General features: G+C 51.5%; 2 protein-coding genes across 7 annotated transcripts in view, besides 6 other annotated features; one reads left to right on the top strand and one right to left on the bottom strand.

The window, feature by feature from the left end:
- PRPF6 (pre-mRNA processing factor 6) overlaps window positions 1-17,232 on the bottom strand; it is a 51,969-nt gene extending 34,737 nt beyond the window's left edge. For all 3 annotated transcript variants that reach the window (XR_007067448.1, NM_012469.4, XM_006723769.4), the window contains exons 1-6: window positions 17,048-17,232; window positions 15,149-15,317; window positions 13,339-13,457; window positions 4,879-4,957; window positions 3,272-3,448; window positions 2,882-3,037 (exon numbers count right to left, since the gene is read on the bottom strand). Coding sequence is in view for 2 of the 3 variants with exons in the window: in NM_012469.4 (NP_036601.2) it covers window positions 2,882-3,037; window positions 3,272-3,448; window positions 4,879-4,957; window positions 13,339-13,457; window positions 15,149-15,317; window positions 17,048-17,118 (771 nt within the window). In the remaining variant the exon portion in view is untranslated. The remainder of the gene's footprint in view (window positions 1-2,881; window positions 3,038-3,271; window positions 3,449-4,878; window positions 4,958-13,338; window positions 13,458-15,148; window positions 15,318-17,047) is intronic.
- Window positions 16,938-17,047: a silencer, noted in NCBI's record as "silent region_13198". NCBI's record gives its function as "represses an Ori minimal core promoter by ATAC-STARR-seq in GM12878 lymphoblastoid cells {active_cell/tissue: GM12878}" and the evidence as "EXISTENCE:reporter gene assay evidence [ECO:0000049][PMID:35858748]".
- Window positions 18,118-18,177: an enhancer, noted in NCBI's record as "active region_18259". NCBI's record gives its function as "activates an Ori minimal core promoter by ATAC-STARR-seq in GM12878 lymphoblastoid cells {active_cell/tissue: GM12878}" and the evidence as "EXISTENCE:reporter gene assay evidence [ECO:0000049][PMID:35858748]".
- SAMD10 (sterile alpha motif domain containing 10) lies at window positions 18,220-24,248 on the top strand. Of its 4 annotated transcripts, none has more exons than XM_011528565.3 (6): window positions 18,220-18,510; window positions 20,020-20,119; window positions 20,958-21,139; window positions 21,222-21,393; window positions 22,532-22,672; window positions 22,832-24,248. In XM_011528565.3, exons 1-6 carry the CDS (start codon window positions 18,370-18,372, stop codon window positions 22,852-22,854), a joined length of 759 nt encoding a protein of 252 aa, XP_011526867.2. In that variant the 5' UTR covers window positions 18,220-18,369; the 3' UTR covers window positions 22,855-24,248. The 4 variants fall into 4 exon arrangements, with proteins under 4 accessions (XP_011526867.2, XP_006723768.1, XP_005260256.1 ...); XM_006723705.4 differs by lacking the exon at window positions 18,220-18,510 and adding an exon at window positions 18,722-18,987; XM_005260199.5 differs by lacking the exon at window positions 18,220-18,510 and adding an exon at window positions 18,722-18,987 and having other exon boundaries at window positions 20,003-20,119.
- Window positions 18,608-18,927: a silencer, noted in NCBI's record as "silent region_13197". NCBI's record gives its function as "represses an Ori minimal core promoter by ATAC-STARR-seq in GM12878 lymphoblastoid cells {active_cell/tissue: GM12878}" and the evidence as "EXISTENCE:reporter gene assay evidence [ECO:0000049][PMID:35858748]".
- Window positions 18,608-19,288: a biological region, named in NCBI's record as "H3K4me1 hESC enhancer GRCh37_chr20:62610429-62610944".
- Window positions 18,773-19,288: an enhancer, noted in NCBI's record as "H3K4me1 hESC enhancer chr20:62610429-62610944 (GRCh37/hg19 assembly coordinates)". NCBI's record gives its function as "activates a minimal SCP1, AML or CMV promoter by ChIP-STARR-seq in naive H9 embryonic stem cells {active_cell/tissue: H9 hESC(naive)}" and the evidence as "EXISTENCE:reporter gene assay evidence [ECO:0000049][PMID:30033119]".
- Window positions 19,274-19,568: an enhancer, noted in NCBI's record as "tiled region #2003; HepG2 Activating DNase matched - State 1:Tss, and K562 Activating DNase unmatched - State 1:Tss". NCBI's record gives its function as "activates a minimal TATA promoter and a strong SV40 promoter by Sharpr-MPRA in HepG2 and K562 cells {active_cell/tissue: HepG2 | K562}" and the evidence as "EXISTENCE:reporter gene assay evidence [ECO:0000049][PMID:27701403]".
- Window positions 24,249-27,171: the final 2,923 nt, after the last annotated feature.

Below are 27,171 nucleotides of genomic sequence, written 5' to 3'. Positions count from 1 at the left end.
CCCAGCACTTTGGGAGGCCAAGGTGGGTGGATCACAAGATCAGGAGTTCGAGACCAGCCTGGCCAGGATGGTGAAACCCCGTGTCTACTAAAAATACAAAAATTAGCCAGGCGTGGTGGCACATGCCTGTAGTCCCAGCTACTCAGGAGGCTGAGGCAGGAGAATCACATGAACCTGGGAAGCAGAGGCTGCAGTGAGCCGAGATCACGCCACTGCCCTCCAGCCTGGGTGACAGAGCAAGACCCCGTCTCAAAAAAAAATAAATAAAATTTTTATTAAAAAAGAAAGAATAGAAAGCAGGGTCTCTGACAAATATCTGTACACCCGTATTCACAGCAGCATTATTCACAATAGTCAAAAGGTGAAAGTGGTCCAAGTGTCCGTCAGCGAATAAACAGGTCAGCGAATGCGGTCTACATAGATGAGCGAATGCGGTCCACACACACCAAAGAGTCAAGTCTCATCCTGCCTTAAACTGAGAACATGCTGGCCGGGGCGCCGGGGCTCATGCCTGTAATCCCAGCACTTTGGGAGGCCGAGCCACGTGGATCACTGGAGGTCAGGAGTTCGAGACCAGCCTGGCCAACATGGTGAAATCCCATCTCTAACTAAAAATACAAAAAAATCACACTTCTAATCCCAGCATCCTGGGAGGCTGAGGCGAGTGGATCACGAGGTCAGGAGATCAAGACCATCCTGGCCAACATGATGAAACCCCGTCTCTACTAAAAATACAAAAATTAGCCAGACATGGTGGCACACGCCTATAGTTCCAGCTACTCGGGAGGCTGAGGCAGGAGAATCACCTGAACCCAGGAGGTGGAGGTTGCAGTGAGCCGAGATCACACCACTGCACTCCAGCTCGGGTGACGGTGCCAGGCTCCGTCTCAAAAAAAAAAAAAAAAATTAGCTGGGCTTGGTGGTGCACACCTGTAGTCCCAGCTACTTGGGAGGCTCAGGTGGGAGAATCATTTGAACCCGAGAGGCGGAGGCTGCAGTGAGCCAAGACCATGCCATTGAACTCCAGCCTGGGTGACAGAGAGAGACTCTGTCTCAAAAAAAAAAAAAAAAAAAAGAACATGCTGACGCATGCTGCACCATGAGCTAATTGAAATAAGCCTGTCACAGTAAGGTAAATACTGTATGATTCCAGTCATATAAGATCCAGAGAGTAGTGACATTTATAGAAACAGAGAGAACGGTGGATGCCAGGGGCTGGGGAGAAAGCGCACGGGGACTCAATGTTTAACAGGTACGGAGTTTCAATTTGGGAAGATGAAAACAGTTCTGGAGATGAATGGTGATGAGGTTGTATAACAACATGAACATAATTATGTCAGTGAAGGTATGTACAGTCAAGAATGATTAAAATGGTAAATTCTGTGTTACATATATTTTACCACAAAAAAATTACTGTGACAGTTTTATTTATTTATTGAGACAGTCTCACTCCGTAACCCAGGCTGGTGTGCAGAGGCGCGATCATAGCTCATGGCAGCCTCAAACTCCCTAGCTCAAGCAATCCTTCCACCTCAGCCTCTCGAACAGCTGGGACTACAGGCACCACCAGGCCCAGCTATTTCTTTTAGTTTTTGTAGAGACAGAGTCTCACCATCACCATGTTGCCCAGGCTGGTCTTGAACTCCTGACCTCAAGCAATCCTCCTACCTTGGTCTCTCAAAGTGCTAGGATTACAGGCATGAGTGCCTGGCCCAAAAAGTTTTACAATTTCTATGTAAACAAATTTCAGGCTGGGCATGGTAGTTCACACCTGTAATCCCAGCACTTTGTGAGGCCAGCGCGGACAGATCACTTGTGCCCAGGAGCTCCAGCCCAGGTTGGGCAACCTAGTGACACCCCATCTCAACAAAAAATACAAAAATTAGTTGGGTATGGTGGCACATGCCTGTAATCTCAGCTACTTGGCAGGCTGAGGTGGAAGGATCGCCTTAGCCCAGGGAGGTCAAGGCTGTATGTAGCCAGCCATGATTGTGCCACTTTTTGTTTTTGTTTTTGTTTTTTATTTTGAGACAGTCTCACTCTGTTGCCCAGGCCGGAGTGCACTGGTGCAATCTCGGCTCACTGCAACCTCCAACGCCCGGGTTCAAGCAATTCTCCTGCCTTAGCCTCCCAAGTAGCTGGGATTACAGGCGCCCGCCACCACACCTGGCCAATTTCTGTATTTTTAGTAGAGACGGGGTTTCACCATGTTGGCCAGGCCAAAAGTAGTATGTTCCTTCGTGGTATCTGATATGCATATCAGAAAGAGTTCTGTACTTCACTGGTGTCTAGAGCACCTAGTCTCCAGATCAAAGTACACGTTCCATGCAGGGCCACAAGACAATTTACTGAGAGGCAGGAAAAAAACACACTTTTTAAAAAATTATTATTTTATATTTTAAAAAAAGGCCAAGTGCAGTGGCTCACACCTGTAATCCCCGCATTTTGGGAGGCCAAGGCAGACAGATCACCTGAGGTCAGGAGTTCAAGACCAGCCTGGCCAACATGGTAAAACCCCGTCTCTACAAAAAATACAAAAATTAGCCGGGTGTGGTGGTGGGCACCTGTAATCCCAGCTACTCAGGAGGCTGAGGTAGGAGAATCACTTGAACCCAGGAGGTGGAGGTTGCAGTGAGCCAAGATCACACCATTGCACTCCAGCCTCTGAGTGACACAGCAAGACTCTGGGTCAAAATTTTAAAAATCTGCGGAATTATTCAGGCAAAAATCAAGCCAAAAAAAAAAAAAGGAGAAGGAGAAGAAGGAGGAGGAGGAGAAGGAGGAGAAGAAAAAGGAGAAGAAGAAGAAGGAGAAAAAGAAAACAAAACAAAATTAAACTGTCTAAACCTGTCCACAGGAAAATGCTGTGTGACAAACTCACCTGGCTCAGCCTCATGTCCATCAGAGTGTTCCTCGCTTGGCCAATCTTCCTCATGTCCAGCTCACCTGTGCCAGGTGTCATCAGTCCTGGCGTCATTCCACCTGGGTATGGAGTGTTTAGTCCACCTGGATAGGGTGTGTTAAGACCTCCAAATTGCTGGAGGGGAAGAGAGGAAAGGCAAGAATAAAACAACGGTTTGCACTGCATGCCCAAGAAATTTACTCTCTGAAATACTTCCCCAGTGGCCTGACATATGCACAGCTGTGCAGACAGACTCGGCCACAGCATAGCCATGACCTGCAGAAGCATTGAATCCAACACCACCCACCATTCCTGCCACTGATCTAACAGGACTAAATGGGCCACATGTGCCCTTTTTTGGAAGCTCACAGTTTGTCGGGGATCCACTGAGGTATGGTTCTCTCCGGTCTGTAAATGTTTGGCAAAGAAACTGTCAGGAACAGGGGTCAGCTTCTCATAGCGTGGGTTCCGCTGACGTTTATTTCTGGCATCGCCAACCTCGGGGATGCTCAGCCACTCTTCTTCTGTGACTTCTGCCAACTTCCTCTGGAAATATCCAGCCCCCAAAAACATTAATTCTCTGACAGAATTTCATGTGCCCAGGTAGGACCATGCCCTCTCTCACCCCTAGCCTCCAGATCACCAAGCTTTAGAAGGGATTTGGATGCAGCAACTGTTTTTTACTTTTGTTTTGAGATGGGTCTCATTCTGTTGCCCAGGCTGGATTCAGTGGCACAATCACAGCTCACTGCAGCCTCAACCTCCCAGGCTCAAGTGATCCTCCCACTTCAGCTTCTCAAGTTGCTGGGACCACAAGCGTGGGCCACCATGCCTGGCTAAGTTTTTATTTTTTGTAAAGACAGGTTCTCCCCAAGGCTGGTCTCAAACTCCTGGGCTCAAGTGATCCTCCCACCTCAGCCTCCCAAAGTGCTGAGATTACAGATGTGAGCCACTGTACCCAGCCCCAAAAATAGTTTTCTACTTCACTTAGAAAAATCAATTTAGGCCGGGCACGGTGGCTCATGCCTGTTAATCCCAGCACTTTGGGAGGCCAAAGCGGGCAGATCACCTGAGGTCGGGAGTTCGAGACCAGCCTGACCAACATGGAGAAACCCCATCTCTACTAAAAATACAAAATTAGCCGGGCATGGTGGCACATGCCTGTAATCCCAGCTACTAGGGAGGCTGAGGCAGGAGAATCGTTTGAACCTGGGAGGCGGAGGTTGCGGTGAGCTGAGATCGCGTCATTGCACTCCAGCCTGGGCAACAAGAGCCAAACTCCGTCTCAAAAAAAAAAAAAAAAGAAAAAGAAAAGAAAAATCAATTTATTGGATCTGTTCAACTTCACTAAAATGTAAATTATTCTCTCAAAGCCCAGGGGACACAGTTTAGAAAATCTTACGTATAAATGGGGCCAGACGTGGTGGCTCACGCCTGTAATCCCAGCCCTTTGGGAGGCTGAGGTGGGCAGATCACTAGAGTTCAGGAGTTTGAGACCAGCCTGGTACACATGGCGAAATCCTGTCTTTACTAAAAATACAAAAATTAGCTGGGTATGGTGGCAGGCACCTGTAATCCCAGCTACTTAGGAGGCTGAGGCACAAGAATTGCTTGAACCTAGGAGGTGAAGGTTGCAGTGAGCTGAGACCACGCCACTGCACTCCAGCCAGGGCAACAGAGCCAGACTGCCTCCAAAAAAAAAAAGAAAAAAGAAAAAAGAAAATCTTAGGTATAAATGGAGTCAAAATTACAAAGAAAATAAGTTCATTTGTCCTACCTTTTACAGTAGGGGAAGGGTTTTTTTTTACACACATATAATTAAACATACTGAAGCAAACACTTTCTTCTTCTAAGCAATGACCCCCTAAATTAAAAACGTAAAGTCTCATAAATTCCACGTAAGAGCAGTCTGAGTCTCTGCGGGTTAGGGTGAGAGCGTTAGAAACCGCACACCATTCACCGCTTCATCGGCTCACCTTGAGGTCTGAGAACTGCTGTTGGATTTTGGGGCGTTCCATACGATATTTCTCTATTTCTTCTTTCTCCCTTTGCTCCCTAGGAAATAAAACATGCACACATCAGAAACACTGCATGTCTGTTCTGAAGCAAATTTATTATCCATCTCAATTAAATCACCAAAAAGAACAATTCCATACTCTTAGTAGCTAAATCAAATATATATATATATATATACATATACACACACACACACACACACACACACACACACACACATTTTTTTTTTTGAGATGGAGTCTTGCTCTGTCACCCAGGCTAAAGTGCAGTGGCGCAATCTCAGCTCACTGCAACCTCCACCTCCTGGGTTTAAGTGATTTTCCTGCCTCAGCCTCCCAAGTAGCTGGGATTACAGGTGCTCGCCACCACTCCCAGCTAATTTTTGTGTTTTTAGTAGAGACGGGGTTTCACCATCCTGGCCAGGCTGTTCTCGAACTCCTGACCTTGTGATCTACCCACCTTGGCCTCCCAAAGTGCTGGGATTACAGGTGTGAGCCACCGCACCCAGCCCAAATCAAATATATTTTAAGGTAACTATGAATACATTCTTAGCTGGGCATGGTAGCACACACCTGTAATCACAGCTACTTGGGAGGCTGAGGCAGAATCATTTGAACCCAGGAGGCAGAGGGTGCAGTGAGCCAAGATCGCACCACTGCACTCCAGCCTGGGCAACACAGAGAGACTCTGCCTCTAAATAAATAAATATAAATACATTCGTAAGTCTACTAATTCAATTATCCACCAAATAAAAACATGTAGAAATTCATTAAAATAAAAAAAAAAGATCTTACTTTGATCTAAATACCTCCATTTGGACATGTGTATATTTACTGCTTGAAAATTCACAAAATCCCAAAGGTAGGACCATCCCATAAACACCTAAGAAGGCCAGGCGTGGTGGCTTACACCTGTAATCCCAACGCTTTGGGAGGCCGAGGTGGGCAGATCACCTGAGGTCAGGAGTTCAAGCCTGGCCAATGTGGTAAAACCCCATCTATACTAAAAATATGAAAATTAGCCAGGCGTGGTGGCGCATGCCTGTTATCCCAGCTACTCAGGAGGCTGAGGTAGGAGAATTGCTTGAACCTGGGAGGTGGAAGTTGCAGGGAGCCAAGATCATGCCATTGCACTCCAGCCTGGGTGACAAGAGTGAAACTTCGTCTCAAAAAAATAAAAATAAAAATAAAAATTAGCTGGGCATGGTGGTGGGCACCTGTAATCCCCAGCTACCTGGGAGACTGAGGCAGGAGAATCATCTGAATCCAGGAAGTGGAGGTTGCAGTGAGCCAATCTAGCCTGGGCGACAGAGCGAGACCTTGTCGCAAAACAAAACAAAACAAAACAAAACAAAAAAACACCTACAAGGAAAAACAGTAACTATCCTAGTTACCACCAAACACTCCAAACACTCTACTGAACTCATCCCACCTTTCCTTCCTTGCTTCCTTCTCTTCCAAGTAAATAGTTCACCTCTAACCAACTCAGCTCAGCTGCACAGCTCTATGTGCCAGAACATAACCCATGTAATTGCACTTCGGTGTTGAGACTACATGTGAGGATATGGTATTCACAGTACTGTTCTTCCTACTTGTTTGTATTACGACAGTTTTCAGAATAAAAAGTTTTAATAAGTACACTACTTTTTTTTTTTTCTTTGAGACAGTCTCACTCTGTCACCAGGCTGGAATGCAGTGGTGCGATCTCAGCTCACTGCAACCTCCGCCTCCTGGGTTTAAGTGATTCTCGTGCCTCAGCCTCCTGAGTAGCTGGGATTACAGGCATGCACCACCACACCCAGCTAATTTTTGTATTGTTAGTAGAGACGGGGTTTCACCATGTTGGCCAGGATGGTCTCGATCTCCTGACCTCATGATCTGCCCGCCTCGGCCTCCCAAAGTGCTGGGATTATAGGTGTGAGCCACCGTGCTCGGCCAAGTACACTACTTTTTAAAAACATTTAATTTAATGGCTTTCTTCATGGGTCCGTGTCACCTGCTGTTTTTTGTTTTGTTTTTGTTTTAGAGACACGGCCTTGGTCTGTTGCCCAGGCTGGAGCACAGTGGCATAAGCATAGCTCACTGTAGCCTCTAATTCCTAGGCTCAAGCGATGCTCCTGCCTCAGCCTTGGGAATGTAGCTGGAACTACGGGCATGTGCAACTGGCTAATTTTAATTTTGTTTTTGTAGAGACAGGGTTTCACCATGTTGCCCAGGCTGGTCTCGAACTCCTAGACTCAAGTGGTCCTCCTGCCTTGGCCTCCCAAGGTACTAGGATTACACATGTAAGCCACTGCACCCAGCCTGATGTTTTTTAAAATGCATTAACCCTGGAGGTTCCAATCAATTTTTAAAATGTAGGGCTGAGTGTAGTAACTCATGCCTGTAATCCTAGCACTTTGGGAGGCCAAGGTTAGGGGAGGCAGGTGGATCACTTGAGGCCAGGAGTTCAAGACCAGCCTGGGCAACATAGACAAAAATTAGCTGGGTGTGAGCCTGGCGTGGTGGCTCAAGCCTGTAATCCCAGCACCTTGGGAGGCCAAGGCAGGCAGATCACAAGGGCAGGAGTTCAAGACCAGCCTGGCTAACATTGGTGAAACCCCGTCTCTACTAAAAATACCCATCTCTACAAAAATCAGCCGGGCGTGGCGGTGCATGCCTGTAATCCCAGCCACTTGGGAGGCTGAGGCAGGAGAATCACTTGAACCCTGGAGGCGGAGGTTGCAGTAAGCCGAGGTTGCGCCATTGCACTCCAGCCTGGGCAATAGAGTGAGACTCCATCTCAAAAAAAAAAAAAGAAAAAAGAAAAATTAGCTGGGTGTGGTAGCACGTGCTTGTAATCCCAGCTACCTGGGAGGCTGAAGCAGGAGAATCGCTTGAGCCAGGAATTGAAGGTTACAGGGAGCTATAATCAAGCCACCGCGCTCCACCCTGGGTGACAGAGTAAGATCCTGTATCCAAAAAAAAAAAAAAGTGAAATGCAATGCCATTCACGTTTAATTACTATAGGTATAAAATTTATGCACAATGATTTAATAACGAGCTTCTAAAAAGATGTCCAGGCCAGGCACATTGACTTATGTCTGTAATCCCAGCACTCTGGGAGGCCAAAGGATATGGTTTACATCTGTGTCCCCATGAAATCTCATGCTGAATTATAATTCCCAATGTTTGAGGTGGGGCCTGGTGGGAGGCCACTTGAGTCTTGAGGGCAGACCCCTGATGGCCTGGTGCTGTCCTCGAGGCAGCAAGTTTACATCACGTAAGATCTGGTTGTTTAAAGTGTGTGGCAAGACTGGGCACGGTGGCTCATACCTGTAATTCCAACACTTTGGGAGGCTGAGGCGGGTGGATCACTTGGGGTCAGGAGTTCAAGACCGGCCTGGCCAACATGGTAAAACCCTGTCTCTACTAAAAACACAAAAATTAGCCAGGTGTGGTGGCGCGTGCCTATAATCCCGGCTACTTGGGAGGCTGAGGCAGAAGAATCACTTGAGCCTGGGAGACTCAAAAAAATAAAAAATAAATAAAATTCCAGAAGAACTATATTTTACTATTCTAAAATTATCTTCAAAAAATAAAACATTCTACATACATCACAGGAAGTTATGATTACATGTATAAAAAGCAACAGAGCTGGGCGCAGTGGCTCACGTCTGTAATCCCAGCACTTTGGGAGGCCGAGGTGGATGGAGCACAAGGCCAGGAGTTTGAGACCATCCTGGCCAACATGGTGAAACCCCGTCTCTACTAAAATACAAAAACTAGCCAGGCGTGGTGGCAGGCACCTGTAATCCCAGCTACTTGGGAGGCTGAGGCAGGAGAATTGCTTGAACCCGGGAGGCAGAGGTTGCAGTGAGCCAAGATAAAAAAAAGCAACAGAAAGAGGAAATGAGCCAAAATGTTAACTGTTACTTTCTAGACTTATGAATAAATGTTATGCTTTTACCCATACTTACTCTTATTTTCCTAATATTCTATAATGAGAACTTTTTATTTTTTTCCTTTTTGAGACAGTCTCTGTGGCCCAGGCTGGAGTGCAGTAGCGCACTCTTGGCTCACGGGAGCGAGCCACCACACCTGGCTTCCGTTCGTTGCCTGTGCTTGTGGGGTATTACTCAAGAAATCTTTGCCTAGTCCAATGTCCTGTAGAGTTTCTCCAATGTTTTCTTCTAGTAGTTTCAGCTTGAGGTCTTAAAGTCTTTTAATTTGATTTTTGTATGTGGTGACAGAGAGGGGTCTAGTTTCATTCTTCTGTATATAGATATCCAGTTTTCCCAGCACCGTTTATTGAAGAGATTGTCTTTTCCCCAATAAATATTCCTGGTACATTTGTCAAGAATGAGTTCACTGTAGAGGTACCTATTTGTTTCTGGGTCCATTCTGTTCCATTGGTCTATGTGTCTGTTTTTCTGCCAGTACTATGCTGTTTTTGTTACTACAGCTCTGTAGTATAATTTGAAGTCAAGTGTTCCCCCAGTTTTGTTCCTTTTGCTCAGGATAGCTTTGCCTATTCTGGGTCTTTTTTGGCTCCATGTACATTTTAGAATTATTTTTTCTTTTTCTTTTTTTTTTTTTGAGACGGAGTCTCACTCTGTTGCCCAGGCCGGAGTGCAATGGCACGATCTCAGCTGACTGCAACCTCTGCCTTCCAGGTTCAAGTGATTCTCCTGCCTCAGCCTCCCAAGTAGCTGGGATTACAGGCACCTGTCACCATGCCCAACTAATTTTTGTATTTTTAGTAGAGATGGGGTTTAGCCAGGCTGGTCTCGAACTGCTGACCTCAAGTGATCCACCTGCCTCAGCCTCCCAAAGTGTTGGGATTACAGGCATGAGCCACTGCACCTGGCTATTTTTTCACTATCTGTTAATAATGTCCCCAGTATTTTGATACGGATTGCATTGAATCTGTAAATTACTTTGGGTAGTATGGATATTTTCTTTTATTTTAAGATGGAGTCTCACTCTGTTACCCAGGCTGGAGTGCAGTGGTGCAATCTCAGCTCACTGCAACCTCGACCTCCTGGGTTCAAGCGATTCTCCTGCCTCAGCCTCCCAACTAGCTGGGACTACAGGCGTGCACCCCCACACCCGGCTAATTTTTGTTTTTTGGTTTTTTTTTTTTTTGAGACAGAGTCTTGCCCCGTCACTCAGGCTGGAGTGCAGTGGTGCAATCTCAGCTCACTACAACATTTGCCTCCTAGGTTCAAGCAATTCTCTTGCCTCAGCCTCCTGAGTAGCTGGGATTACAGACGTGTGCCACTACACCCAGCTAATTTTTGTATTTTTAGTAGAGACAGGGTTTCACTATGTTGGTCAGCCTGGTCTCAAACTCCTGACCTCAAGTGATCCACCCACCTCACTCTCCCAAGGTGCTGGGATTACAGGCGTGAGTCCCAGCGCCTGGCAACTTTTGTAATTTTTTTAGTAGAGACAGGGTTTCACCACGTTGGTCAGGCTGGTCTCGAACTCCTGACCTCCAGTCATCCACCTGCCTCGGCCTCCCAAAGTGCTGGGATTACAGGCGTGAGCCACCGTGCCCGGCCATTTTTGTATTCTTAATAGTGACAGGGTTTCTCTTTGTTGGCCAGGCTGGTCTCAAACTCCTGACCTCAGGTGATCCACCCACCCTCAGCCTCCCAAAGTGCTGGGATTACAGGTGTGAGCCACCACACCTGGGGGCATAGCCTGCAACTTTAATCAATTTGTCAGTTCCAATAGTGTTTTGGTAGAGTCTTTAGGGTTTTCTAAATATAAGATCATATCATCTGCAAACAAGGATAATTTAACTTCTTCTTTTCCAATCTGGATGCCCTTTTATTTATTTCTCTGGTCCGACTGCTCTAGCTAGGACTTCCAGTACAATGTTGAATCACAGTGGTGAAAGTGGGCATCCTTGTTGCGTTCCAGTTTTTCCCCATTCAGTATGATACGAGCTGTGGGCCTACCATATGTGGCTTTTTTTTTTCTTTGCGACACAGTCTCATTGTGTTGCCCAGGCTGGAGTGCAGTGGCACAATCTCAGCTCACTGTAACCTCCACCTCCTGAGTAGCTGAAATTATAGGCCTGAGCCACCACACCCAACTAATCTTTGGATTTTTAGTAGAGACAGGGTTTTACCATGTTGGTCAGGATGGTCTCAAACTCCTGACCTCAAATGATCTGCCTGCCTGGGCCTCCCAAAGGGCTGTGATTACAGGCGTGAACCACCCCATCCAGCTGTATATAGCTTTTATTGTGTTATGCTCCCCCCCCCTTTTTTTTTTTTTTTTTTTTGAGACAGGGTCTCGCTCTGTGGCCCAGGCTGAAGTGTGGTGGTATGATCTCAGCTCACTGCAACCTCTGCCTCCTGGGCTCAAGTAATTCTCCCATCTCAGCCTCCTGAGTAGCTAGGACTACAGGTGTGTGCCACGAAGCCTGGCTAATTTTTGTATTTTTTTGTAAAGAAAAGGTATTACCCTCTTGCCTAGGCTGGTCTCAAACTCCTGAGATCAAGCAGTCCTCCCGCCTCAGCCTCCCAAAGTGCTGGGATTACAGACGTGAGCCACCACACCCAGCCTGAGGTATGTTTCTTCTATATGCAGTTTTTTGAGAGTTTTTATCATCAAGGAATGTTGAATCTTATCAAATGCATTTTCAGAATCAATTAAAATGATTAGGCCGGGCGCAGTGGCTCACGCCTGTAATCCCAGCACTTTGGGAGGCCGAGGCAGGTGGATCATGAGGTCAGGAGATCAAGACCATCCTGGCTAACACAGTGAAATCCCGTCTCTACTAAAAATACAAAAAATTAGCCAGGCGTGGTGGCGGGCAACTGTAGTCCCAGCTACTCAGGAGGCTGAGGCAGGAGAATCACTTGAACCCAGGAGGTGGAGGTTGCAGTGAGCTGAGATTGCGCCACTGCACTCCAGCCTGGGCAACAGAGCGAGACTCCGTCTCAAAAAAAAAAAAAAAAAGATCATATGGTTTTTGTCCTTCATTCTGTTGATATGATGTATAACACTGATTAATTTGCATATGTTGAACCACCCTTGCACTTGTATCCCCTGGGCAAAATGCCACTTGGTCATGATGAACGATCTTTTTTTTTTTTTTTTTTTGAGATGGAGTCTTGCTCTTGTCTCCCAGGCTAGAGTGCAGTGTTGTGACCTCGGCTCACTGCAACCTCCACCTCCCGAGTTCAAGCGATTCTCTTGCCTCAGCCTCCCAAGTAGCTGGGATTATAGGCGTACACCACCCACCATGCCCGGCTAATTTTTGTATTTTTAGTAGAGACTGGGTTTCACTAGGTTGGCCAGACTGGTCTTGAACTCCTGACCTCAGATGACCCATCATCCGCCCACCTCGGCCTCCCAAAGTGCTAGAATTACAGGCGTGATCCACTGCGCCCAGCCGATGAACCATCTTTCTAATGTGTTGTTGAATATGGTTTGCTAGTATTCTGCTGATTTCTGCATCAGTGTTCATCAGGGATACTGACCTAACATTTTCTTTTTTCAGTGTGTCTTTGTCTGGTTTTGGTATCAGGGTAATACTGGTTCTGTAGAATAAGTTTGGAAGTATTCCCTCCTCTATTTTTCAGAATAGTCTGAGTAGAATTGGTATTAGTTCTTCTTCAAATATTTGGTAAAATTCAGCAATGAAGCAATCAGATCCTGAGATGTTCTCTGCTAGGACACTTTCTGTTACAGCTTTGATCTCATTACCTTTTATTGGTCTGTTCAGGTTTGGGATTTCTTCATGGTTCAATCTTGGTAGCTTGTATGTGTCATTTAACATCTTTAATTCATTTGCAAATTACTCAACATATAATAATCAAGTCAGTAGGCCCTTTTCATTTCAAAGATGGTAACCCTGATGTATCGTAAAAGTAATCCACAAAATTCTGCTGATTTCTGGAAAAACTTAAGAGTTCTTAAGCTCTCCACTGCAGCCCCCAGGCCCTAAGGCTGTTCTGTAACAGCCCAGTGCTTATCCAGGCATGGCTACGACAGACCAAGACCCTCAGGTGGCCTAAAAGCTAAGCAGACACACATACTCTATTGCAACTTTTCTCCAAATATAAAACAATTCAAAACAAAACTTTTTTTTTTTTTTGAGACAGGGTCTCACTATGCCAACCAGGCTGGAATGATCATGGCTCACTGCAGTTTCTACCTCCTGGGCTTAAACGGTCCTTCCACCTCAGCCACCCAAGTAGCTGGGACTACAGGTGTGTACCATCTGGCTAATTTTTAAATTATTTGTAGAGATTAAGTCTCCCTACGTTGCCCACACTGGTCTCAAACCCCTGGGCTCTAGCTATCGTCCTACCTCAGCCTCTCAAAGTGCTAGGATTACACACGTGAGCCACTGCGCCTGGCCACAAAACTTTTTTTTAAACTTGGATAAATATTGTGAAAGGCAACAATTTCTTTTACCGTCTTTCTTTTCTTCTTTCATCCATCCTTTTATCCAGGGCTGCATAGATAGCATCTGCTTCCTCATCATCTTTCTCGTAGGGTCCACTTGAGAAGAGGCTCCCAGCATAGCCATTAAACTGAGAAGCAAACAACACGTGTAGAGGTCAGCTTTTCCTTCAACACCATCCCCACCAGCGAAACGGAGATCTCTACTTGTGAAATACTTGCTAAATTATTTTCTTCAGCCAACGAAGCCAAATCAAGGGACAGTCTACCATATAACTGGTGACTACTCTTCAAGCGTCAAGGGCATGGAAGACAGAGGAGACCCCCAATTGGAAGGGACCAAGGAGACATGACGAAATGCAATGGGGGATCCTGGACTAAGCCTAAGCCAGAAAGCGGACATTCATGGAAAAACATGAAATGCAAATACGACTGACAAATTAGTTAATAGTACTGTGTCAATGTTAACTCCTTCGTTTCAATAACTGCACTAAGGTCATGTAACATCGGGAGAAGCTTGGTGAAAGACATGCAGAAACTTTTTTTTGGGGGGGCACTATTTTTGCAAATTCCTGCAAATTTAAAATTATTTCAAAACTAATTTTTTTTTTTTTTCTGAGACAGAGTCTCGCACTCTCGCCAAGGCTGGAGTGCAGTGGCGCAATCTTGGCTCACCGCAACCTCCGCCTCCCGGGTTCACAGCATTCTTCTGCCTCAGCCTCCCGAGTAGCTGGGACTACAGGCACATGCCACCATGCCCGGCTAATTTTTGTGTAGTTTTAGTAGAGACGGGGTTTCACCATGTTAAACAGGATGGTCTCGATATCCTGGCCTCATGATCCGCCCACCTCGGCCTCCAAAAGTGCCAGGATTATAGGTGTGAGCTACCGCACCTGGCCTCAAAACTAAAATTATTTTTAAAAATTTTCCTCAGAGGAAAAATGTCATCTGTTAGAAGACAGTTAATCGGTATTCAGTCAGCTGAAGTTTTTCTTTAGATGTCTGTTTAGAGGGCAATCACTAAAGCTAAAAAAAGCAAATACTATCACCAATTCCACTTTAAGTTTTTATCATTAAAGACTGGCAGCCAGGCGCAGTGGCTCACGCCTGTAATCCCAACACTTTGGGAAGCCGAAGCGTGCGGACAACCTGAAGTCAGGAGTTCGAGACCAGCCTGACCAACATGGAGAAACCCTGTCTCTACTAAAAATACAAAATTAGCCAGGCATGGTGGCGCATGCCTGTAATCCCAGTTACTTGGAGACTGAGGCAGGAGAATCGCTTGAAATGGGGAGGCAGAGGTCACAGTGAGCTGAGATCACACCACTGCACTCCAGCCTGGCCAACAAGAGCGAAAGTCCGTCTCAAAAAAAAAAAAAAAAAAAGACTGGCCAATAGGAAATGCCAAGGCAGTGGTCCTAACACCTGCAAGAACATCTCTTCCGACAAGAGCGAAATTCCATCTCAAAAAAAAAAGACTGGCCAATAGGAAATGCCAAGGCAGTGGTCCTAACACCTGCAAGAACATCTCTTCCGACAAGAGCGAAATTCCGTCTCAAAAAAAAAAAAGACTGGGCAATAGAAAATGCCAAGGCAGTGGTCCTAACACCTGCAAGAACATCTCTTCTGAGGGACAAAAAGTGCACATTTCTCCGTGTTTTTCCTGCTCCCTCTCACTCTCAGTAAAGATGTTCCATGAATAGCTAAAATTTAAATGCATGAGCCACTCCAAGCCATTCATTACAGACACCAACACACACTGGTTAGGTCAGCTGCTCCCAGAGACTGGCTGGAGGAGCCACGAAAGCCGGACACATCTCACCTCATCGTAATTGGTGTCATTTAGATCCTCGTCGTCATCGTCAGCAGCCTGATTTTTCTTCATCTGGTCCCCAACGGTTCTCTTGCCTGGGGGTGCATGGCGATCATCCACAGGGTCATTTGCATCACGGGCGGGCCCAATGTCTGACCGCGTGGTGAAGCCAGTGGCGCTGCAGGAGACCCCCAAGACACCGGGTGTCTGAATAACTCTGTTCCTGTGCTCTTCTCCACTCCTGGTTATCACTTACTAACACCTCTTTTTCTAACACCTTTGGGAAACCTCCAAAGATCCTGGTGACAATGAACTGCAGTCTCAAACACTTCTGATCTTCTCTGCTTACCTGAAAGTTTCAGCCTACCCTGATGATGTTACCAAGGCAATCTCTCTCCACCCTAAGGCTTCGATCATCTCCCCCTCCACATCCAACCAGGCCCTTAAACCCAACTTGGCCCACACTGAGCTCTTCCGTGCCCACCTTACAGCTGCTCTGGGGGGTTTCAGCTGATAACAGCTGTCCCAGATGCCACGGGACCATGATGTAATTTTTGCCTCCCTCTCCCACTTTCCCCATCCTGTCTGTCCCCAAGTACTAATGAATCCACTTTCAAAATCCCTCCTTCCCAGACTATGACTCCCATCACAGCTGGAAACCAAGTTACCTCTCCCTGCCTTTAGCCTTCCTCTACTTCAACCCATGCTCTGCCAGATGATTCTTCCCAAAACACAGCTCTGAGTAAAAAATTCTGGGCCGGGCGTGGTGGCTCACGCCTGTAATCCCAGCACTTTGGGAGACGGAGGCGGGTGGATCATGAGGTCAGGAGTTCAAGACCCCCCTGGCCAACATGGTGAAACCCTGTCTCTACTAAAAATACAAAAATTAGCCGGGCGTGGTAGCGGGCACCTATAATCCCAGCTACTCAGGAGGCTGAGGCAGAGAACTGCTTGAACCCGGGGGGCAGAGATTGCAGGGAGCTGAGATCGCACCATTGCACTCCAGCTTGGGCGACAGAACAAGACTTTGTCTCAAAAAATAATAATAATAATAATAATTCTGAAGGGTCATGATCTTTCTAACGTCTCCAGGAGCTCTAGCCTGACGCTCAAGGCCCCTCCAACCTCCTGAGCTCTATTCTATTCGCTGTACATTCCACTCACACTGGACTCCCTCCTGTTCCCTGGGCTTCCTCCTTGCCTCACTTTTTTTGAACTCCCACACGCAGAATGTCAGTTTCTCTTCTATCGTCACCGTTTCTACAGCCCTAAGTCCAGCTCTCTTACTAAACTTGGCTCCAATGCTACTCTCCATTAAGCACTGGGTTCTAAATCTGGTCCTCTTTACGTACTTATTTATGGTAATAGCAAACCCTCCTTAGTGAGCTTGTGTGTGCCCCACAGATTCCAATATAATACCACCACCAAGAAAAACCCAGTAGTGTTCCTCATCAAATGAATAGCCAAATAGGATAATAACGACTGCTCACTTATCCAGCAACGCACGGTGGTCATCTGTGTTGCAGGCATAGAGGACCCAGGCACGCTTAAGGCGGGGCGGGCGGGCGGGCGGGGGGGGGGAGTGTCAGCCCGACCTGAGGAAGGTGGTCGCGTGTTTCCACTACACGTCAGATTCCTCTACTCCTCACTGCAGACCGTATACAGCATTACCCATCTTACAGACCAAAACACTGGGCTGAGAGTCAATGTGTCACATCTAGGCGGCAAGCAGGGTGCACACACAGGTATGTCCTGACCCCAAAGCCCGTTGCTTCCTGCAGGGATTAAGCCGATCCACCAAGCGTCTTTCAGACTGCGCGGCCATAGACCCCCGCCCCCAAACACGCCCCAAAGCACTGCGCTCCTGTAGCCGGGTCCCCGCCCCTCGCGCGCCGCCCCAGGCCTCACCCCCGGCCCAGCCCCGGCACGTAGCCGAGGGGCGCGGGCATCCCTAGGAACGGTTTCTTCTTCTTGTTCATGGTGGCGGCGACGACCAAGGCTAGGAAGGAAAGGAATGAGGCAGCGGAAGAGGGAAAGACGCAGAGACTCTAGGCTTCGACGTCCGATGCACTCCGTAGCAAAGTGTCGCCGTCGTCGCGTCACCCGCGCCCCGGAAGCAGAGCGCTCAGTCCGCACACGCCCCGCCCACTTTTGATTCCCTGGGCGGAAGTCCCGACGTCCTGGTTCGACGACTTCCGGCCGCGGCTAGGGGGCAGGAACGTGGTAGGCGCGTGCGCGGGAGCGCCTCCTCGTGGAGAGGCGGAAGAAGCTAGGTCGAGCTTGCACTGGGACCCTAACTGGCCCCTGGGGGCTAAAAACAGCCTGGGGCATTGCTGCTTCCCGAGTGCTCTGATGCAGTCCGGAGACCTGTCTGTGAGAGTGGGACCCATGGTCCCCTCCCTCTGAACCCATGGCCCCCTCCCTCTGAACCAGCCCAGCTGCCCGCCCTCGCCCCTGGTGCGCCCTGTCCGAGCAGAGCTGTACCCTGTCCAGTTGTGTAGAGCTTGTGTGTACTGGTTATGGGCACACCTGTCTGTGTGCGTCCTGTGCGCACACTGCTGCCCTACGCTTTTAGCACTCATATTCTTGAACCCCCATTCAGGCATCTGTCCCTCCAGTGGGACTAGAGACCCCACCCACGCCCGCCAACATGCCTTGGACATTCTGGTGAGGGCCACATCCTTAGCTCCTGGAGAGCTAATTGACGAAATAAATAACCGCAGCTGAGCTGTCGGGAACACGTCAGTACATGAACATGGCTGTCAAGCATGTGGGTGAATTCTGTGTGTGTGATTAGTGGGGTGTGTGCACAGAGGTCACGTGTGCTCGTGTTTTGGGTGCAAGTGCATGACTGTACTCTGTGCATGCATTTCTACATGTCTGTGTGCATCTCTGGTCCTCCTGCTGTAAGACATCCTCCAGAGCCCCTACATACACCCAGGGAGAGCACCCAGGCTCCTGGGCAGAGCAAGCCGAATAGCTGGTTGCAAGCCTGGCCTGCTGCTGCACCAGGCAACCACAGTTCCCTAGCCCAGCCCCATCTCAGCACTTCTCACTGGAGTCCTGGAGCAAACACACCGCTCCGGCCTGCTACAGCCTCCTTGGAGTTCCCCTCTGCCCCATCTCCAGGCAAGCCAAGCCCCTTTCAGTTACAGAGCACTGTACCGCCCCCTCTCCCCCGGGCACTGAGCCAGGTTCTGGGGCTGCAGAGGGAAGGGAGAACCACCCTGATGTTCACAGTGGGGTGGGCGGTAAGCAAGAGTCAAGCTGGTTTCTCCGGGGAAGCGGGTGCCTATTTGAAGGCGAGTAAAGACGTAGGAGACCGAGGAAAGTGTGTGGGAGGCGTTGACCTGCCCCTTGTCCTGGCCCCGGTAGGTAGAAGACCCCTGTGAGATGCCCCTCAGCCCACCCCCACGCACAGAGGGGCCCGACCTCAGAGGACGCCCGGCAGGTTCACGGGGACTCTCCTCCGCGGAGCCGTGCCCAGGGGCGCACGGACGCCCCTCGCCCTGGCGGACAGCCTTGGTGCACGCAGGCCCGCGCGCCGCCGACACACCTCGGAGCTCCCGGAGCGCGCCCGGCACACAGGGCTCGGCGGCAGGTGCCTCGTCGCGCACACTCGCGGGCCGCGGGGACCGGCTCGGGCGCGGGGCCGGCTGGGGCGGGGCGGGGCGGCGGCGCGCGTTCCCCGCCGGCCACACCGGCCGCCCTGCACTCGGCGAGGGGCGTGTGCGCGGGCCTGGCACCCGCGGGCCCCATGTTCACCGAGCTGAGGTCCAAGCTGAGCCCCCCGCGTGGCCGCGCCGGGGCCGTGCGCGCGGGCTTCGGGGAGCGCCGGGATGTGGACGGTGAGCGGGGCTGGATTGGGGAGCGGGGATTTCTCGGGCGGGGGTCTCAGGGACCCAGAGGCACGGGGGCGGGGCGGGACCCGGCGGGCTTCGAGCGGCGGTGGCTGGGGGTATTCGGCGGATGTCTCGGCTCAACGGGGTCCCGTAGCCTTTGTCCTGCTTTAGGGGGCAGCCAGCCTCAGGCCTTGGGGGTCAGCGCGCCCTTGGCTTGGGGTGAGGGGGTGTCAAGCCGGGGCGCCTGTGTCCAGGCTGGCACTACGCTCGGGTCACCTTTTCCTGCGCACGGGGAAAACCCTCCCCCGCTTTTGCAGTGGGGCCGAAAGGGGGCCGAGGTCACATCCCGCCTCGGTGCCCCCGCCCCATTTCCTTCTGGAATCCTGACGTTGGGGCGGGAGGGACCGGACCGACAGACCGCGGGACGGACGGAACTCCCTCCGGGAGTGCAGGCAGGAAATGGGCGGAGCCTGCTTGGCCGGGGCAGGTGCCGTGCGGGCTGAGGAGTCCGACGGGTTTCCCCGGACTGCCGCGCGCTTCTGCACCAGCCCCGCCGCTCGAGGCCCTGCAAAGCCCGGCGACCACGGCGCCTGTCCGCTGGAAGGCGCGGGCTTAGAATAAGCCTTTTCCCACAGCACTAGGGGCCACCTCGGGGCGGTGGCCCACTGAGCACACCCTCTGCTGACCCCAGACCTCAAATTTGGAGTCACCCAGGGGTCCGGTTCCTGAAAGTTGCAAGAATGGGGGCGGAAGGTGTTATGTCTCCTAAGTCTTACAGGCGTGGGAGGACGGGGAAGTAGGATGTGGTTTTCACCGATACTTAGACCTCCTAGACACATCCCCAACCCCTGCCCTGGGTGTGGAGTGGGTGGCTGAGTCTGAGGCCGGGAGGGTCTCTCACTCTAGGGTGGATGGGATGAGGGCCCTAGCGTGGGAACCTCACCTGCCCTGCTGAAGGCCTGGGTGCTAGGGTGCTGTAAAGACAGGGGCAGGCCTGTGCCCACCTTCTGTCTCCCCACAGGCTCTGTTCACTTGCAGATACCATACAGAGCCTTCATTCATTCATTCATTGACAATGAATGTGGGGTGCCCCTCTGTAACCAGACCTGGATCAAGACGCCTGCCTCCCCAGACTCAGGTCAGCAGTGCCCCCAGAGATGATGACAAAGCTCAGATGAAACACTTTAATGCAGTTACTGTGGGAAGAGGGAGCACAGAGCATCACCGTGGGTCCCCAAGCAATGGCTGCACCCCACATACCTGTGCTGACCCGCCCATATCCAATGGGTACCCACCATTCACATGGCCGGTGTTGTCCCGGGCTGCAGGCCCTGTGGGGGGCGGCACAGCTGGAGAGCCCAGCGCGTGTTTGCGGAGTGAGCCCTGCTTGTCAGTTGGCCCACAGTTCAGGCTGTCAATGAGTCATAGTCAGTGAGTCGGGCCCCAACACCAGATAGGGCTGTGTGAACTGGGTGCCTTCAGTGGCGATGGGCAAGCAGCATCCTCAGCCCGGTTTCCCCAGCACAGACGACCTCCCCGGACTCGGGATCTGCCTTTCCTCAAAGCAGGCCGTGTGTGCACTTCCTGGTCTGGTGTGGTGTGTGCAAGACTTGTGGGCCAGCCCAAGGCAAGGGTGAGGTCAGGGCTGTCCCAGGATAGCTCCTCTTGTCATATGTCTCAGGTTCCCTTCCCTAGAGGGCACATCCTCTGATCTAAGAATCCATCCTGCTCCCCTGGGTGAGGGCTGTAGACTTGCAAGATGAAAGGTGTTTCCAGTTCTTCTCTTTTTGTGCTGGGTGAGGTCCTCGAAACAGGTCCTGCACACTTCCTTCTGCCTTTGGAGGCTTGGGAACCCCTCATTGGGGAGGTGATTTCCCGCACTAGTGTGGAGGAGATGGGGCAGGGAGCTAGCTCTCAAGTAGAGGAAGCCTCTGGTTCTGCCCTTGACTGCCCTGACCAGGCACCCCCACACACAGCCACTGCCCACTTCAGCTTCTGCCGGACCCTCCTGGAGCACACGGTGTCAGCTGAGAGCATCCCCTGCCACTTGCCTCGGACACCTGGCACCAGCCTCACGTGGCATGACTCCCGCAGCCAGAGGGCGGCCAGCAGCAGGCCAATCAAGCTCCTGCAGCAGCCCGGCACAGACACCCCCCAGGTACCCACCCACTCCACCCACCTCCGTCCCTGCCCTCCTTCTCCACCACTCTCACTCTGCCTGCCACGCCCCTCCCCTGCAGGGCCGGCTGTACTCTGACCACTATGGCCTGTACCATACAAGCCCCTCGCTGGGTGGCCTGACCCGGCCCGTGGTCCTGTGGAGTCAGCAGGACGTCTGCAAGTGGCTCAAGAAGCACTGTCCCCACAACTACCTCGTCTACGTGGAGGCCTTCTCCCAGCATGCCATCACCGGTACAGTGGCGCTGAGGGTGCTGTGGGAGTGGGGCTAACCTGCCTCAGAGCGTCTCTTCCCCACACTCAGCCTGCCTTTCTCTTGCTGTTGTTTTCGTCTGTCTAGTTTCTCCTGTGAATCAACCTCCCCTCTGTTCTTCATCTCCGCAGAATCTGTCTTTTCTATCTCTCTGCCTTTCTTTTTTTTTTTTTTTTTTTTTTTTTTTGGTGAGACAGAGATTTACTCCTGTTGCCCAGGCTGAGTGAAATGGTGCGATCTTGGCTCACCACATCCTCTGCCTGCCAGGTTCAAGCAATCCTCCTGCCTCAGCCTCCCGAGTACCTGGGATTACAGGCATGCACCACCACGCCTGGCTAATTTTGTATTTTTAGTAGAGACAGGGTTTCACTGTGTTGCCCAGGATGATCTCGAACTCCTGATCTCAGGTGATCCGCCTGCCTCAGCCTCCCAAAGTGCTGGGATTACAGGTGTGAGCCACTGCGTCCGGACCTCTCTGCCTTTCTTCTGTGTCTCTTCCCATCTCTCTGTGCTGTCTTCATCTGGCTTTTCTCTGTTCCGTCCCTGCCTTTTGCTCTCCTTCCTTTCCCTCTGCCTCTCTCCTTTAAGTCTCTGTGTGTTTTGCTGATTCTCTTTCTCCCTCTGAGTCTCTCTGAACCTCGCTTCCTCTCTCTCTCCTCCCTCTCTCCGAGTCTCTCTGTGCCCGTGCTTCCCGCTTCCTCTCTCTCTCCTCCCTTTTTCTCTTTCAGTCCCTGCTTCTGCCTTGGCTCAGTTTGTTGTTTGTTTGTTTGTTTGTTTCTGAGAAGGAGTCTCGCTCTGTCATCCAGTCTGGAGTGCAGTGGCACGATCTCAGCTCACTGCAACCTCCACCTCCCAGGTTCAAGTGATCCTCCCGCCTCAGCCTCCCGAGTAGCTGGGACTACAGGCGCACACCACCAAGCCCAGCTAATTTTTATACTTTTAGTAGAAACGGGGTTTCACCATGTTGTCCAGGCTGGTCTTGAACTCCTGACCTCAAGTGATCTGCCCGCCTCGGCCTCCCAAAGTGCTGGGATCACAGGCATGAGCCATGGCACCAGCCTTGCCTTGGCTCTTGATGCCTCTGTTGGCCTCAGCTCAGCCCCTCTTTCCTCTCCCCAGGCCGGGCACTGCTGCGGCTGAATGCGGAGAAGCTGCAGCGGATGGGGCTGGCCCAGGAGGCCCAGAGGCAGGAGGTGCTGCAGCAGGTGCTCCGCCTGCAGGTGCGTGAGGAGGGGCGGAGCCTGCAGCTGCTCAGCCAAGGTCAGTGTGAGGTGCCAGAGAGGCCTGGGGGCTGATGGAGAAGCCCCTCTGAGTGTGGGGTGGGATGACCTCAGGAGGTCGGCTGCAGGCCCCAGTAAGCGCCCTAATGCAGATGATGCCAAAGACCCCACCCCATTCTCACCCTCTTCCATCACACAGCTTCCTTCGGGAAAATGTCCTAGCTGCTGCTGAGGCTTGAACCCAGACCCCAGCACTGTGATGGGAGTCCACGGCTAGGGAGGAGGCCAAGCTGGCCCCGCAGCGCCTCTTGGACCCTGCGGGATGCCGGGGCGGCCAGGCTGGCCCAACGGACAGACAGGACCAGGATCACACCTCCAGGCGCCTCTGGTTGGACATTCCAGGTCGTGCCCTGGGGCTGGGTGGGTAGGGGGCTGCTTGAGTGTGGCCCCACCTCCTGGGACCTGAGCCCAAGCCCTCCCCTGGTGCAGCTGGCAGCATGTGGGGCAGCTGCCTGGAGCCAGAACCGGTTTGGATGTCCCCCCTAGACTCCCAGGGAGTCTGTTTATTTACATTCCCCTCTCCACGTGATGTCGGTCCCCCATCGCCTGCTGAGTCACTTGTCTGTCCACCCACCCAGCCCAGTTCTAGGTCGTTCCCCAGCACCTCCAGGTTGGCCCACACAGGTACCATAAGCTGCCTCGGCTCCCTGTGGCTTGTGCCCATGCACCTGCCAGGGCCCAGCAGGCCAACCCATCATCTAGAGTAGTGGCCATCAGCACCCGCCTAACGGGCACCATGCCAAGCACTTTCATCATTATTTATACATCGTCACCACACCCCCTCTATTCATGAGAAGTAAAGCTGAGAAAGGACCAGATTGACCAAGCGCCAGAGACAAAATGTGGCACAACGAGAACCCCAGCCCTGTCCAGGTGGCTCCGCGCCCAGGGCCCAGGCTTAGCAGTGCTCCCTGCCCTATCTTTGGGAAAATCTTGCTTTTATGGTCTTCCCCCCTCGCCCTCAAGAACAAGGGCCTTGTGCGTGGGCCTTCCCATTGCTGCTTTCCCAAGAAGGCCTGGATTCAGGGGAGAGGCCTTCCCAGGGCCACTCCCCTTACACCCTCCCAGAGGCCTGAGCAACCCCTCTCTGGGTGGTTTGGGGCTGGTGCTGCCTGGCGGAAGGACAGTGAGGGCGGCCCTAGCCGCCTCCACCCTCTTGCGCCTCTGCCCTCTCCCAGTCCCCCTGTGGCTTCTGAAAATCTCAGGGACAGATGAGGCTGAGCCCCTAGTCCCCTCTGTGTGCTTTGAGCCTCCAGACTCGAGGCTGGTCACTGCAGGTCCCAGGTGGAATTTGGACAACTGGCCTGGCCGCTCCCATCCTGTAAGCCCCCACCACGGGGAGACCCTCATCCCTGCCCCTGTGTGGCTGCGCAAGTATTCTGCCCGCCTCCCACCATCAGCCTTCGCCCAAGGGGCCCTTCTGCCTCTGCTTCCCTCCCTTCTCCTCTGTCTTGCCCTGGCCCACGCACGCCTGTCTCGTCTTCCTTGTTTTGCTGCACTCACTTTTTTATACTCTGACAAAAAAAAAAAATCAGAAATAAAGCTGGTTCCCAAGTGCTGGCGGTGCTGGGTCTGCGAGGAGAGGGCGTCTGGGCAGCCGCGGCCACCAGGGGGCAGTGGCGTCACGCCCTGGAGGGGCGTCTGGGCAACCCCGCGCAGAGGCTGGAAACAGGGCTCAAGTCACGCCTGTGGGCGGTCCCCAGTGCTGGACACAACGCCCGACACGCTGGAAGGGACGGCCCAGACAGCGCGTGAGGGTCCCGCGGCTGCCGTGACAGAGGACCACGGAGGGGTGCTGAGAACAGCAGACATTCATTCTCTCTGGAGTTCTGGAGGCCGCAGTCCAAAATCCAGCTCCCTCAGGGCCTCCTGGGGCGACTCCTCACCTCTCCAGCTTCCAGTGGCTGCCGGGGGAACTCGGGCGCATGGGCATTACCCGTCTCCGCCTCTGTAATCAGATCACCTCCTCCTCTTCTGTCTCTCAAATCTCCCTCTGTCTCTCTCTTATAAGGATGCTTGGATTTGGGGCCACCTGGGTAATACAGGATAATCTCCTCATCACAAGATCTTTCATCACATCTGCAAATACCCTTTTCCCAATAAGATCCCATTCACACGTTCAGGGATAAAACACAAACATCTGGCCTGGTACGGTGGCTCACGCCTGCAATCCCAGCACTGTGGGAGACCAAGGCAGGAGTGTCGCTGAAGGCCAGGAGTTCAAGACCAGCCTGTGTGACATAGCAAGACCCCATCTCTACAAAAAACTTTTGAAACTAGCCAGGCATGGTGGCGCATACCCGTAGTCCCAGCTACTTGGGAGGCTGAGGCAGGAAGATTCCTTGAGCCCAGGAGTTCAAGGCACAGTGAGCTCTAACCACACAACTGCACTCCAGCCTGGGCAACAGAGCAAGACCCTGTCTCAAACACAGATCACAGCACACACACACACACACACACACACCACACACACACAGCAATCAGACACATAAGAGCATAAACCACACACAGAGACTCAATGACACTGACACCAGCAAACACCAACACACACAAACACATGCATGTAGTTGGCCAGGCACACAGACACAAAGGTATGTAACAGCATGCCCCCATACAAAGATGTCATTACACAAATACACAAATACTAGCATGCAGACACACAACGACCTCCTAACACATAGAAACACATGGGACACGGCACATCCCCGGTGCACACAAACACACTGTATTCCACGACACCCTGGCATGTAGATGCTCACAGAAAACAGCCGTCCCTCACCAGCACCCTGACACTGAGACATGCCGCAGCCTGGACACATGGATACTGAAATCCAGACACATCGTCCCCAGGTACCCTGAGGTCTAGTCGCCCAGATGCTAAAATACAGACAGGCATTGGTCTCACCTAGCATGGGACACTGTCATATCCTGACACGGCAATGTCCAAACAGGTCGCATGTATGGACACCCAGACTTACACAGGGAGAGCTGACGGCCTTGGCTGCACCTAAGGGGACACACACTGACCCCTCAGGAAATCCTGCTGGTCCCGTCCCCAGGGTGGGAAAGGTCAACAAGGGAAGGACGTGATGACGCTAGCCTCACAGGGAATGCCCTCCCCTTCCTCCTCGGGTCACACAGGCTGGTGTGCACTGGCCTCTCTGACTCAGATTCCCGAAGGAAGGATTGACTGACTGCCTCTTCTATAAGAGCCAACCTCCAATCTCCATGTGAGTGCTCTGCACCAGCCTTGAGTGAAGCAGATCCCAGGCCCCTTTGAGGAAAGGCAAAAATCTTACTGCCCAACCCCCTAGCAGTGCCTCTGAGCTTGCTCCACGGGGTACAGGGAAAGGGGCCGACTGGGCCGGAAGGGCCCCAGCGAAGGAGGCACACCTGGTAGTTCCATTTCCTGACTAGCAACTTCCAGCCCACATCAATTTTAAGGAGTCCAGAATATTTGTAGTATGCAAAAAGGGGCATTACGAAACTTTTAAAAGTCTGTTTTAATTATAAAAGTAATATATGCACATGGTTTTAAAAAAAATGCTGGCTGGGTGCGGTGGCGCATGCCTGTAATTCCAGCACTTTGGGAGGCCGAGGTGGGTGGATCACGAGGTCAGGAGTTCGAGACCAGCCTGGCCAGCTTGGTAAAACCCCGTCTCTACTAAAAATACAAAAAATCAGCTGGGTATGGTGGCACGTGCCTGTAATCCCAGCTACTCAGGGGGCTGAGGCAGAATTGCTTGAACCCAGGAGGCGGAGGTTGCAGTGAGCAGAGATGGCGCCACTGCAGTCCAGCCTGGGCAACAGAGAGAGACTCCATCTCAAAAAAAAAAAAAAAAAAATGCTCTATGGGCACAAGATGAAAACCCAGAGTCTCCTTGACTCTTCCCTCCTGAGGCCTGAGGCCTTCCCTGGGAGATGGGTGCTGTGAACAGGTAAGAATGGCCCTCCTAAGGCCAGGGGCAGTGGCTCACGCCTGTAATCCCAGCACTTTGGGAGGCCGAGGTGGGCGGATCACGAGGTCAGGAGATTGAGACCATCCTGGCTAACAGGGTGAAACTCCGTCTCTACTAAAAATACAAAAAAATTAGCCGGGCGTGGTGGTGGGCGCCTGTAGTTCCAGCTACTTGGTTGGCTGAGGCAGGAGAATGGCATGAACCCAGGAGGCGGAGCTTGCAGTGAGCCGAGATCGCACCACTGCACTCCAGCCTGGGCTACAGAGCCAGACTCTGTCTCAAAAAAAAAAAAAAAAAAAAATGCCCTCCTAGCCAGAGGCGGTGGGTCACACCTGTAATGCCCACACTGTGGGAGGCTGAGGCAGGAAGATGGCTTAAGCCCAGGAGTTCAAGACCAGCCTAGTCAACACAGAAAGACCTCGTCTCTATGAATACTTTAAAACTTAGCCAGGTGGGGTGGCACACACCTGTAGTTCCAGCTACTTGGGAGGCCGAGGTGGGAGGATTGCTTGAGCCCAGG

Source organism: Homo sapiens, chromosome 20 (genome assembly GCF_000001405.40).
Source record: "Homo sapiens chromosome 20, GRCh38.p14 Primary Assembly".
Classification (NCBI taxonomy): Eukaryota; Metazoa; Chordata; class Mammalia; order Primates; family Hominidae; genus Homo; species Homo sapiens.
This window is presented reverse-complemented; position numbering and strand designations above follow the sequence as displayed.

Coding starts and splice junctions, on each gene's coding strand:
- SAMD10 (XM_011528565.3), top strand. CDS start 18,370: ATGTTCACAGTGGGGTGGGCGGTAAGCAAGAGTCAAGCTGGTTTCTCC. Junction 21,394..22,531: donor CTCCCAGCATGCCATCACCG/GTACAGTGGCGC, acceptor TCCTCTCCCCAG/GCCGGGCACTGCTGCGGCTG. Junction 22,673..22,831: donor CCTGCAGCTGCTCAGCCAAG/GTCAGTGTGAGG, acceptor TCCATCACACAG/CTTCCTTCGGGAAAATGTCC.